General features: G+C 38.8%; 2 protein-coding genes across 53 annotated transcripts in view; one reads left to right on the forward strand and one right to left on the reverse strand.

Annotated features, from left to right (window-relative positions):
- The window catches only part of SLC24A1 (solute carrier family 24 member 1), a 49,653-nt gene extending 40,531 nt beyond the window's left edge, over window positions 1-9,122 (forward strand). For 14 of the 27 annotated variants that reach the window (NM_001411142.1, XM_024450103.2, XM_011522219.2 and 11 more), the window contains 2 exons: window positions 762-928; window positions 1,950-4,380. In NM_001411142.1, coding sequence (NP_001398071.1) covers window positions 762-928; window positions 1,950-2,199 — 417 coding nt within the window. In that variant the 3' untranslated portion in view covers window positions 2,200-4,380. Of the gene's footprint in view, window positions 1-761; window positions 929-1,949 lie in introns of all 27 variants that reach the window. The other 13 variants (NM_001301033.2, XM_011522222.4, XM_047433333.1 and 10 more) reach the window with 5 other exon arrangements.
- Window positions 7,243-13,032, reverse strand: part of DENND4A (DENN domain containing 4A) — a 133,171-nt gene continuing 127,381 nt past the window's right edge. For all 26 annotated transcript variants that reach the window (NM_001376920.1, XM_047432100.1, XM_047432097.1 and 23 more), the window contains 3 exons: window positions 12,680-12,842; window positions 12,450-12,514; window positions 7,243-10,107 (listed from right to left, as the gene is read on the reverse strand). In NM_001376920.1, coding sequence (NP_001363849.1) covers window positions 9,971-10,107; window positions 12,450-12,514; window positions 12,680-12,842 — 365 coding nt within the window. In that variant the 3' untranslated portion in view covers window positions 7,243-9,970. The remainder of the gene's footprint in view (window positions 10,108-12,449; window positions 12,515-12,679; window positions 12,843-13,032) is intronic.

The raw sequence follows: 13,032 nt of genomic DNA on the forward strand, positions 1-13,032 counted from the left end.
GTTTGTAAAGGCTTAAAAGTAGACTTTTTATTCCAGTGAACGCAGTGCTTCTCAAGTGTGGCTTTTCTGTCATATCCTGTAGCATGGCATAGAAGGCCTTGGAATCCTGCCTGATTCCAGCTGAACTTGGCTTATTAGCCTTATTTCCTGCTTTCTCTGCCATGTACCCATCCCTCTCACCTGGTGAAATCCTACGCATTCTGAGAGCCAGCTTTTTTCGCCTGCTCTCTGGCATTCAATTAGTCTTCCTCTGAGTACCTATAGTGTTTCTGTTCTGCCTGGAATACTGAACTGTAATAATTGTTTACTAGCTTTCCTCTCTAAAAGGCCGAGATTAGGGTCTATGTCATCCTGCTCATACTTCACCTCCAGCCTCTTAGTTCCTGGCACACAGCAAGTGTCCACATTCCTGGAAATAGAAATGCTGACATGAACAGCTCTTTGGAAGGGCAGTTCTTGTGGGGAGGTAGGGGTGTTAAGAGTTGGAATGACAGTGAGCAGCAGATCTGGTGTAGGTAACTTTTAGTCCAATTGTGAAAAGAAGAGCAACATGGTCCCTGTGGCCAGGAGCAGGAGTCTTGCTTGCTCTTCCTCTCTGTGGCCATCTCAGCTGTCGGTCCCCCTATCACCCTTCCTCACTCAGGCTGAGGGGGTGTGGCTGAGCTCCTTAGAAGGCAGTCTGTTTGCACAAAGTAGGATGTGGATAGTGCTTGGATGTGCCTCAGGTTTTTCACCTACTGTTGACCGTTGCCGTTTACCAGGTTGGTGAAACAATAGGGATTTCTGAAGAGATCATGGGCCTGACAATCCTTGCAGCAGGCACATCAATTCCTGACCTCATCACCAGTGTGATTGTCGCTCGAAAAGGCCTGGGAGACATGGCTGTGTCAAGCTCTGTGGGCAGTAACATATTTGATATCACTGTGGGGTGAGTGGCAATGTAACTTTCTAAGGGGTGTTAAGTATGACTGGAAAACACTGCATTGGCTCTGTTCACTGGTTTTCTGCTTTATTCATTATACATAGAATAAAAGGGCATTTATATTGTTAGTTTCTGCAAAGCAACAAAATATCTTCCCTTCATTCATCATAGCCAGATGGGATAATAGACCTAAAATGCTGCCTGAAATGTAACTGACTGGAATTTACAGATAAATTGAAAACCAAAGTCCATTTCATTCCATTACCAAATACCGTCAAATGCTCTGCTCACTGACTTTCAAGGCGGTGGAGGTAGGATTGGAAGGAGCAATGACTCAACTTCACTTCTTGGTACTACTCTTGCTCCTTTGTATGTGAACTCCTGCTAGCTCAGAGACTCTAAACAGCATTTTGTATAACACGCAAATGCCTTATCCTCCTGTACCCATCCTCTTACTCCATTCTCCCAACCTTGTCAGAAACAGGGGCTATTTTCATTTCCCCAATCATGTTCTGAATTTGGGTGGTAGATTTGTTTCCTTAAATTTGAATTTGTGTATGTGTATTTGGGGTGAGGGGCAGCTAAAAAGGCAGCCCTCATCACTAAAGAATTAAAAGAAATGTAGGCCTTATCAAAATGTAGAGATTTAAGAGTACATATCACATTGGGGCTGGGTGTGGTGAAGTGTGCCTGTAATTCCAGCATTTAAAAAAAAAAAAAAAGGCACACATCAACTGATCTGAGTCATATAGAAGTCATGAAGTATGCAGAAAATAAAAACAAAGCTCAGACTCAGAATACTTCAGTTTTAACCTAAGCTCTTCTAGTTATTAATGAGTCCTTGGGCAAGTAATTTAATTTCCCTGAAACTTAATTTCCTTGTCTGTGAAATGGGGCTAATAATTTCTGTTCACTTCATAGATATTTTATTGGTGGAAAAATACTTTGTAAAGTATAAACTACTATTTAAGTGTATGGGATTATTATAAACATTAAGGATATTCACATCGTTTCTTCAATCTTGCAGCTTGCCTGTTCCTTGGTTGCTTTTCTCTCTTATCAATGGATTACAGCCAGTTCCAGTCAGCAGCAATGGCTTGTTTTGTGCAATTGTTTTGCTTTTTCTCATGCTTCTGTTTGTGATCTCTTCAATTGCGTCATGTAAATGGAGAATGAACAAGATCCTGGGCTTCACAATGTTCCTCCTTTACTTTGTATTCCTGATAATCAGTGTGATGTTAGAAGATCGAATCATATCCTGTCCTGTATCTGTCTGAATCAGTCACTCTTGCTCACAATGGGCATGGATCAGAAGACCATGCAGAAGTTACTGTATCTCTTGTGACCCTAATGAAAGAATGTATATGATCCTGGAAAGTGAACTGGGTGACCTAGGACCTCTGATATGAATGTGATCTGAGACTAAAGTTTGTCCTTGGAAACACCTGCAGCTCATTGTGGATTAAGAACCTCACCCCTGGAGGGGTGGAGTTTCTACCCCTGACTCATGCAGACATCTATTACATGGAGGCAGTAGAAGGACCCCTGGAGCCAGAGGGTTTTCTAAATGAGATAACTGGGGGCAAAGGTTGGGATAGGCGCAGCAGCTATAAGACAAGCTCCTACGCTCACTGTTCCCTGATCATTCCAAAGGCTGCTGGCCCAAAAGATGCAGATGTGGTCTACATCTCAGCCTTCCTGACCTCTGCCCCAAACACACGCTGCAATTTTGTCTCCTCCTTTTCTGTTCAAATTGTGAGGTTCTATCAGGTTTGTAATCACTGTAGCTTCAGTTATTGGTGAGTCTAAGGATCCAAGGCTACAGAAAAAAAAGAAATATAACAGGAATTAATGATCATTCCACGTTTTGTAGCCCACTGCATCTGGATATATACCAGTATTTTCTTTTTTTTTTTTTTTGAGACAGAGTTTGGCTCTTGTTGCCCAGGCTGGTGTGCAATGGCGTGATCTCGGCACACCACAACCTTCACCTCCCCGGTTCAAGCAATTCTCCTGCCTCAGCCTGAAGTCGTGATCTGCCCGCCTCGGCCTCCCAAAGTGCTGGGATTACAGGCGTCAGCCACCGCGCCTGGCCTATACCAGTATTTTCTAGTTTAAAGGAGGACTACATTAACTCTTATTGTTGTGTTTCTGAAAAGTGAAATTTAAAAAGCAGCCTGAAAAATAAAAATTTATAATTTGCCCTTGAATTGGAAGGAATGGAGATTAGGGAAGGAAAACTACTCTAGAGGCCATTTAAAAGTATGTATTTATTAGAACATGCAAATTCATGTTGTCTCCATCAGTGGTCACCTTGAGGGATTAGACATTCTAATGGAATGTCCTGGCTCCACCCTCCAGCATGTTCTCACCCAACAATGACAGTTGAGTGGAGTGGGAAGGGAAGTCATTCTAAAGAGTCCAAAGTCAGTAGCGCCACATCTGGTTTATAAAGTAAGAGATCCAGTGGGACAATGCTATTTTTGTATGCCAACCTAGATAGGATTATAAAGCAAGACTGATTTCTTCTGTGGTTTATGAATGGATCTTAAGGTAATTACAAAAGGGAAATTCCAAGAATGCATAACACAATGACAACATGGTGAGAAAAGTGCAGTACTACTTCCAAGGTAGCTAGTGTAAAGGACACTTGAGTTTTTAAAACTGTGGTTAAATGTTTTATGTGGAATTTGATGAGTTTGTATATTAAATACCACTGCTTGCTGCTTTTACTAGAATCAAGTTAAGGGACACGTTAGAAATAGAACAGCTTAATATCACTGGCTTCAGAGCAAAATGAGCTCGGGTGACTGCAGATTATGATGGTAAATATGGCTTTAATTACAAACATGAGGAATGATTCACTGAAGATGAAAAGATAGGACGGATGTGATATGAAAAAAACCCAAACATTTTGGCATTGAATGATGGCTAAGGTGTTCCAAGTATTCCATCTTTTAAGATGAATTGCTTAATTAATTGCCTCGCTACCCCAGGATTCTCATTCTTTGGAAATAATTTTTATTAAATTTCAATAAACTGTGAATCCCAATGGTATTTTACTTTACAACATGGATGGGCTCATCCTTATCTTTAGGTCATTTGGTCAGAATCCTCCCGAGAAGACTGATGAAGAGTATGGAATCATGTTCCAATTCTATATTCTTAATTATCCTTATTCCTGATGCTACTGCATTGCTGGGTTTCCATAGCCAAGGCCTAAGAACAGGAGGAGAAGGCAATGCTTGTGGGAGGGAGGTCCCAATACCAAAATTCTGGGCACTAACCTGGTGTCTGCAGCCCGTTCCCGTTAGCCTCGGGGATGTCACCTCACCCACAGCCTGGGATCTGACGTTCTTCCTCAGACTGGAGTAAGGAGTGATGGACCGTAAAATGCTGTGTAATGATAAAAGGCTGAAATATCCACTGAATGATTAAAACCAACTCTAATAATCTGACATCCTTTTCCCAGTTTGCTGAATTTCTGGCATACCCCTTTGCCTAGAAAGGAAGTTCTGATCACTTTACAGTGTTACAGAAAAGGACAAGTACAAAAAATGAAAGCTGAGTCTTGATGAATGAGTAGGAATTCACTGGGGGAGAGAGTGAGATTACTTTGGTGAGATGGAAAACTTGTGTAACTTTTAAAAGACTAATTGGTTATACCTGGAAATTAAATTTTTTGGTCACACATTTACAAACGTACTATAATATTAAAATCATGCTGTTTTAGAGGTAAAGTACCATTTAAAAATGTCGAGATAATATTGAGATGGTCCTCTCACTTTATAGGCAGAATATTCTGTATATAGTTACTTGTGACAAATTCTAGGTCATTCATTCAGCCTGGAAAGTCTGAACTGTCCCAAATGGGTATTTGAATTGGAAGTCAGTGGCTACATGGATGACTTCTACCCCCTTAGGCTGCACTTCCTTGAAGGCCCTGATAATAGGTTTGAGCCAGATTTCTGAATTCTTCCTCATTTAATGGGTTAAGAGTCTATATAGTACCAGAAAAAAGAGATGTATTCCAAATTTTTCAAACTATGTGTTTAAATGTTTTTTTGTTTTGTTTTGTTTTAAAAAGAGACGGGGCCTTGCCCTGTCACCCAGGCTAGAGTGCAGTGACATGAACATGGCTCACTGTAGCCTCACCTTGTGGGCTCAAGCGATCCTCCCGCCTCAGCCCCCCAAGTAGCTGGGACTACAGAAGTGCACCACCACACCCAGCTGATTTTTGTATTTTTTTGTAGAGATAGGGTTTTGCCATGTTGCCCAGGCTGATCTCGAACTCCTGAGCTCAGGCAATCTGCCCGCCTCGGCCTCCCAAAGTGCTGAGATTACAGGCATGAGCCACTGTACCCAGCCAAAATGGTTACTATATATTTTGAACATTATATTGCACTGTCATCAATAGATTCGAAAATAGTTTTACCAAATTACAGGCTTAGTCTTTTATAGCTGTCTATATCAATATTATTTAAAGATTGAGTACCAAAGGGGGCAGGAATTGGAATGTATTATCTAGAGCACAGAATAGTAAATAATCAGGAAAAGGGCCGGGCGCGGTGGCTCATGCCTATAATCCCAGCACTTTGGGAGGCCAAGGTGGGCGGATCACGAGGTCAGTAGATCGAGACCATCCTGGCTAACACGGTGAAACCCCGTCTCTACTAAAAAAATACCAAAAATTAGCCGGGCGAGGTGGCAGGCGCCTATAGTCCCAGCTACTCGGGAGGCTGAGGCAGGAGAATGGCGTGAACCCCGGGGGGCGGAGCCTGCAGTGAGCCGAGATCGTGCCACTGCACTCCAGCCTGGGCAACAGCGAGACTCCGTCTCAAAAAAAAAGAAAAAATAAATAATCAGGAAGAATTGGTTGGCCTTATGTGCCAATGAATACTCTTGGTTCTGACCCTTTTTTGGTGGGAGGGTCCTCCAGCAGGTGCAGCTTGCAATGTGTACGGGGACTGGATGCTATGAAAGATGTAATGAGAGGGCTCATGAGCAGAGCTGCCTATCCCTGGGGGTTCACTAACGCCTACAGGACATCCTGGCCCAAGTCTGCCTGCACAACTAAAGGCACACTTCTGGTCTTTAGGTCCTTCGCTGTATGAGCAAGCAAAACCTGGAGAATTTCACTTGCAGAAAATCCACCAGTTGCTGCAATAGTTTTATCATAGTACTACATTTGAAAAAAAAATATTTAAATAGTAAAGGAGGGAGCCATCCAAATGAACAGGAACTGTGGAAAGGCAGCAATAACTTTATCAGAAGAATCTATTACCATCTCAGAGTACAAGCACATGCGCAGACTTTTGTAATCAAAGATGAAAATTCTTCAATTTGTGTACTGCTAATTTTGTTAAGAAATATAAGCCAGCCAATATGCTTACTTTGAGGCCAAAGGAGCAAGGTAGTATGAGGATGTTAAGACACCAAGTACTAAGGATATTAAGGTAAACTGGTATGCAGCTGCTAGAGGGTTCAGTTTTGAAATAAAGCTTAGTCTTATATCCAGACAGGAAGAGGCAGCACATGCTAACTTTAGCACGAAGGACAAGGGTCTTCTCAAAGAGACAGCCTGCTCTTTCTCTTCTTGCTCTGAGATAAAGTGCCAAATAGCAGCTTTCAAGTTCTAGTGAGAGAAATAAAAATAAAGCTGGGCTACTGCACATCACCAAACAAATAGGTATTTTCATATCGCATATTACAAAGTAGAGGTTGAGTATCCCTTATCAGAAATGTTTCGGACCAGAAGTGTTTTGGATTTCAGATGTTTTTGAAATTTGGAATATTTGAAAAATACAAACTGGTTGAACATCCCAAATATGAAATCCAAAATGCTCAAATGAGCATTTCCTTTGAGCATCATGTCGGTATTCAAAAAGTTTTGGATTTTGGAGCACTTGATTCCAGGAGCTCAGCCTGTATTTAGAAATTAAGCATAACTTCTAAATAGAGCTAGCTAATACTTGCTGGTTGCACTTAAGTATCATAGTAATTATCAGCATAAAGTAAAAATAAGTATTTACTGCCTAAAATGTTGAACCAATGTTTTCTGGGACCATTTCTCTAAATACACAAATGGGGAGACATACTAGAAAACCTTACAATTAAATATGCTGGTAGTGTTAGGGTTTTAGAGCAAAACAGAAATCCAACCCCCAAGAAAGTCAGGGAAAAGAAGACAAAAATCAGAAGATGAACAGCTGCATATTTCTCCACCTAACACTAGGAGGAAAAAGTAGAATATTTGAAATACGATATGGAATACAAATCTGTGCCATTTAGAACATAATGGTAGGACGTAGTAAACAAGCTACATCAGCACAGGACATGGTTTATTGTCAACCATTTAAACATATAAACAAAACTAAGAGTAAGAAAATAAAAGACAGATGCTGTAGCAAAAGGGCATTTCTCTCCAACATGATTGGCCATTATTCTCCAAAATGTATGGTTAACAGAAAATTGAAGAAAAGTTTGTATAGAGTTATTTTAAATGATTGATATTTTCTGGTTTTTTTTTTTTTTTTTTTTTTTTTTTTTGAGACAGGGTCTTGCTCTGTAATCCAGGCTAGAGTGCAATGGCATGATCACAGCTCATTGCAGCCCCAAACCCCCAGGCTCAAAGTGATCCTCCTGCTTCAGCCTCCCGAGTAGCTGGGATTACCAAGCATGAGCCACCATACCGAGCAAATTTAAAAAATTTTTTTGTAGAGACAGGGTCTCTCTATGTTGCTCAGGCTGGTTTTGAACTCCTGGACTCAAGCAATCCTCCCTGCTTCAGCCTCCCAAAGTGCTGGGATTACAGGCCTCCATGAGCAACCACGCCCAGCTCAAGAATGATTCACATTTTAATTTTCTTTTGAACAGGTTTACCACTTTGTATTTGTGTTTTAGGTTTTAAGACTAAATCTGTGCAATAATATTCCCTAGGGATTAAAAGTAGGGGAAATACAACCCTCTCCAAAAGCAGAAACAAAACTTGGGGTGGAAAGAGGAGGTAAAAATTACATTCGCTTTTCCAAATGAGTCTGAATCGTAAAACCATAAAGAATGGTTTTACTCATTCTTTGTCAGCCATTTGAAATCAATAAACTATGATTCCTACATTTTGTTTGTATTACACAAAAAGTAAACAACAATGAAAGCTGTTTTTAAAAGAATAAAAACCACCAACCACAAATAGAAGAGAACCCCAGACGGTTCTCTTGGAGGGATGTTTATCACCAGTGCCAAAAGCCTCCCCCCTCTGAAATGTTTCTCTCAGTTGACAACTTTCAAATGATTTAAAGAACATGAAGAACAAGTAGAACATGAAGCTTGGATCTGAATAGTAAAGAATAATATTGGAGTGGTATTTACAAAGGAGAGGCAGATATATGTGCCTAGCACCAGATTTTTCAAGTAAGCAAGTTCAGCCCCAAACTAACTGAAGTTTTACATTTTTAAACTCTCTCCATTATTTCCCAGAGTTGGAAGCTGTGAAATGTTTCAGCATGGTGCTATTCACTAATGGTGTGAACTCAAAAGGTGGGTTTTCTGCAGCTGAACTGATTCTAAGTCTCAGGACTCCAAGATACCTCCAGTCCAAGTGTCGTGGACTCTACTGGCTTTATACACCTAATTTGGGACTATCCATTTTTTCCTTCTTTAAAGCTGGCTAGGGAATTCCTTCACTAATGATAATGTGTGCAAACACACACACATATTGAAAATCTATAACTAATTCTAGCAGCCAAAAGATGTTTTTCCTTACCAGAAATTACCCAAAGAAAGTTACATTAGAAATAATATGACTAAAAATATATTTTTAAAGCTATTTAATACTCATGATGTCTAAACTTTCAATTTATTGTCTGATTTCTGGATATTTCTGTATTTTAGATTCTACAGACTTCAGATTCTGAAGCTTGTTGAAAAAGCTAAGTTCCTCAATATGGATGAAAATCTATCTGGCTGTACTTTTAGAGGGGAATTTTTCTACTTTTGAAAAAAATTCTGAATATTTATATATAGTATTAACAGAATACCCCAGTAAGTCATATTTCAGATAAATATTCTATAGTATAATTTGCATCATACCCAATATTTTAGATATTAAAATAAGGGTAAAATTTGGAATATAATCACTTGTCTGCATATTTCCCAATGTAAGTTTTCATGTAGAATATTAAAATTTAAATTGATATTTGGATTTATAAGCTGTTTTCCCTGTATACTATACGTATCTATTAGCAATAGAGACAATTTTGGAGTCATGGTATAGTGAACCTCTCTGGCTCTCCTTGCACAAGGCTCCATGAGTCAGTCTGGGCAGTGCACGCTACCCTTGCATAACTCACTCCCCACACTCAGGCTTAGGGGTACTAACATGCAATCCTAGGACAACACTTGACACTAGCACTGACATTTTAAAATTCATTCTCCCAAGTAATAAAAAATATATATATAGATAGATATACACAGAGAGATCTGCAGCTGTACTAATTACTTCAAATAGCAGCAGACAAGGAAAATACACGCTTGCTTGCTTAAGTTTAAATTCATTTTAAGTTTGCTATATTAAATTTAAAAATTAAAAAAATATCAACTTACTATAAACAATTTAAAATATGTATAATACAACTTCATGGTCAAAACATTTGAATAGTCTATGAAAACAGGAAATACGTTCATCTGACATTTCTGTTTAGATTCCATTCATGATTTTTCAATCTGTCTCTTCCAAAAGAAACCATAAAGCAGTTGTCATATTTTATGGCAACTAATTTTGTTTAGGGATTTCCTCATCACAAAAATACTTTATTTCCTATTACAGGGGAGTTAAAGAAGAAGAAAAAAGAAATGAGAAACAAAGTGGCTTTCTCCCCACTTGTCACTATTCTCTTCTTCAAACATTCTGTACATAAGCTGTCTGAGTCTTTTGAACCATTTACAAATTGTATTTTCAAAAATTGAAGAAAAAATATTTAGAGTCTAAAAGTGTTATTTTATACACTGACTATACAATATACATTGAATGTTTACACATACAAATACATCTTAAAGATAAGGTTCTCCAAAGGTTTTTCGACATTCCATCACCCCTGTACTTGGTGGTCTATCACAGTTGTGTGTACTCTTGACTTGACTAGGTGTGAGACGATCGTATGCCATCTTGTACTCTTTATCAAAAGCATCTGCAGAAATTGATAAAGAAATAAAAGAATAAAGAAATTTAGGTCTGATGTTGAAAACTATCAAGTTTCTATAATACTACAGAAACACAACATTAGAGGCCAAGAAGGAATTGCTAGGACATTTCTTTATCCAAAGGACCACAGCTGGATTGCACAGACCAGTGAAACTTAAAGGTTTGAAAATGCCAATTTTTAATTTTACCAGGTACAGATGTTAAAAACCACCAAATACCACACACACTTTTTTGGTACTTTGCTTTGCATACTCAATAAAAACAGTAAAAATAAATAATAGCCTTTTCCCACCAGGATTGACAAAAAGTTTTTTTGCCCATATTTTCTTTACACTAGTCCTTTTATGGTTTCATTTTTTAAATTTAAATTTTGCTTCAACAGAAATTTTTTTTGGTTTGTGTGTCCTAACTTCCTATATTATGGGCTACCTCTGGGAAAATAATCCAAATATCTGAAATCACCATGTAATGATTTTTTTTTCCCTTTTCCACATGGCAACAGATGGAGCTAACAGACTGTTACTTTTATTTTTAAGGACGTTATACCAAGGTCTGTGTGCCTTTTCCCCAGAAGATAGTCCACATGTGACAAAAAGGGACAACAGAGGTTTACAAGCTTCTGCTAAAAGTTTCTCTCAGTCTAGAAATCATGCTAACTTATTGCTTATTTTAAACACATACTGGATAAAAATTTGCCCCTCAGAGAGCCAAATGGGGTATGAATTATAACAATGTCACTAAGATCCTATTTTTCTGCTTTGGGGAGGTGACGGACCTAAGAACATCTTTCCTCTCTGAAACAGTACCACAGTGGTACCCATGAAGGCTTGTTGGAGTTGAGTCAAGTGCATGAGCAAGTGAGCTTCTCTAGCTTGGAGGTCCGGAATTTTTTAGACATTCAAGGAAATCCCACCTTTGGCAGAGGGCTAGAGTAATATCTGACTACAGTCTGGGCTTGTATTAGGTAGGGAATAAAGGGATGGTAACAAGGATCTGAATAATCCTTTTTGGTATCCTCTGTTTCACCATAGTTAAAAGGCCTAGCTCAAATAACACTATTCATGATTTTGGTTAAGTTCTGGCATCTTTCTCAAGTGGCTAGAATGACTATCCCAATGCCATTTAATAGTCTACCTTTCCTAACATTTTATTTTTTATATATATGTGTGTGTGTGTATATATATATATATATATATATTTTTTTTTTTTTATTTTTTTTTTTGGTTAGACGGAGTTTCACTCTTGTTGCGCAGGCTGGAGTGCAGTGGCACAATCTCGGCTCACTGCTGCCTCCGCCTCCTGGGTTCAAGTGATTCTCCTGCCTCAGGCGCCTGAGTAGCTGGGACTACAGGCATGCGCCACCACGCCTGGCTAATTTTGTATTTTTAGTAGAGATGGGGTTTCACCATATTGGCCAGGCTTGCCTCGAACTCCTGACCTCAGATGATCTGCCCGCCTTGGCCTCCTACAGTGTTGGGATTACAGGCGTGAACCACTGCACCTGGCTGATTTTATTATATATTATATTCCCATAGATATTTATGTTTATTTCTAGACTCCCTATTCTGTACCATTGATTTTTCCAGCTCTGCCCCTGGTAGCATTACCCTGATGTAATTACAGTAGCTTCTAGAAAAGAATCACCTTCTGTTGATTCTTTTTTTATCAGATAAGGTCTTGCTCTACAGCCCAAGCTGGCATGCAGCTGCACCGTCATGGCTCACTGCAGCCTCGACTGCCCAGGCTCACATGATACTTTCACCTCAGCCTCCCAAGTAGCTGGGACTACAGCCATGTGCCACCACATCTGGCTAACTTTTTTTTTTTTTTGGTAGAAATGGGGTTTCACCATGTTGCCCAGGCTGGTCTCAAACTCCTGGCCTCAAGCGATCCACCCACCTTGGCCTCCCAAAGTGCTGGGATTACAGACATGAGCTACCGCACCCGGCTCCTTTCAATTAAATAATTTTTCCTGACTAGTCCTTTTCTTGTCAGATTAACTTTTAAAAATTGAAATATAATCCATATACCATACAATTCACTAACTTAAAGTGTACAATTTAGTGTTTTTTTGGTATATTCACAAGATTGTACAACTATCACCACTGCCTAATTCCAGAACATTTTCATCTCACCAAAAAGAAACCTTATACCAGTTAGCAGTCACTCCCTATTCACCCCACCTCTTGGTCCTTAGCAACAACTAATCTACCTTTATATAATTACAGATTTAATATTACTAATAAAGTATAACTACTAATATAAAAATACTTTGAAAACTATTCCATGATATATAAATATTACATATTAGATATAAAGCTAAATTACCTATATCAATGTTTTCTCTTCCCAGTGCCACAAGTGAGAGAAATAGTATTTCTCTGTATAAACTCCTAGGGAGAAAAAGTCATGGAGAAAATATTAGTATCCATATAGTCCATATGTTCCCTATAAAAAATTTAATGCTATCATAAGCATGAGATATTCTAACAAATTACTAAGCAAACAATATGAATCTGCCTAGGAGAACAATATATTCGTCTAAGAGAAGGACTTACCTCTGTCTTTTAAAATGTGGACACTTATTCAGTGTCTCTAAAATCTGACTCATTGGTCCATAGACATCATTCATTTTAATGCTTTTTACCATACTTTTCAACAGTTCCTGGTTAAATGAGTTATCACTTTTTTGCAATAAATGGACCATTGGATATTTTTGGGCTGTAAACGAACAAAAGAACAGATGAAGGAAAATGTTCTGTGTAGAAAGGAGAAAGAAATTAAGCAGCAACTGACAGATATTAAGTTACAAAGCACTAAAAATAAATTAAGGGCAATAGATAAAGAAATAGGAATCCAAGAATGAAGAAAGCAAAAAATAAGACAAATAATGACAAAAAAAGGTCTAAAG

This window comes from Homo sapiens, chromosome 15 (assembly GCF_000001405.40).
Source record: "Homo sapiens chromosome 15, GRCh38.p14 Primary Assembly".
Taxonomy (NCBI): Eukaryota; Metazoa; Chordata; class Mammalia; order Primates; family Hominidae; genus Homo; species Homo sapiens.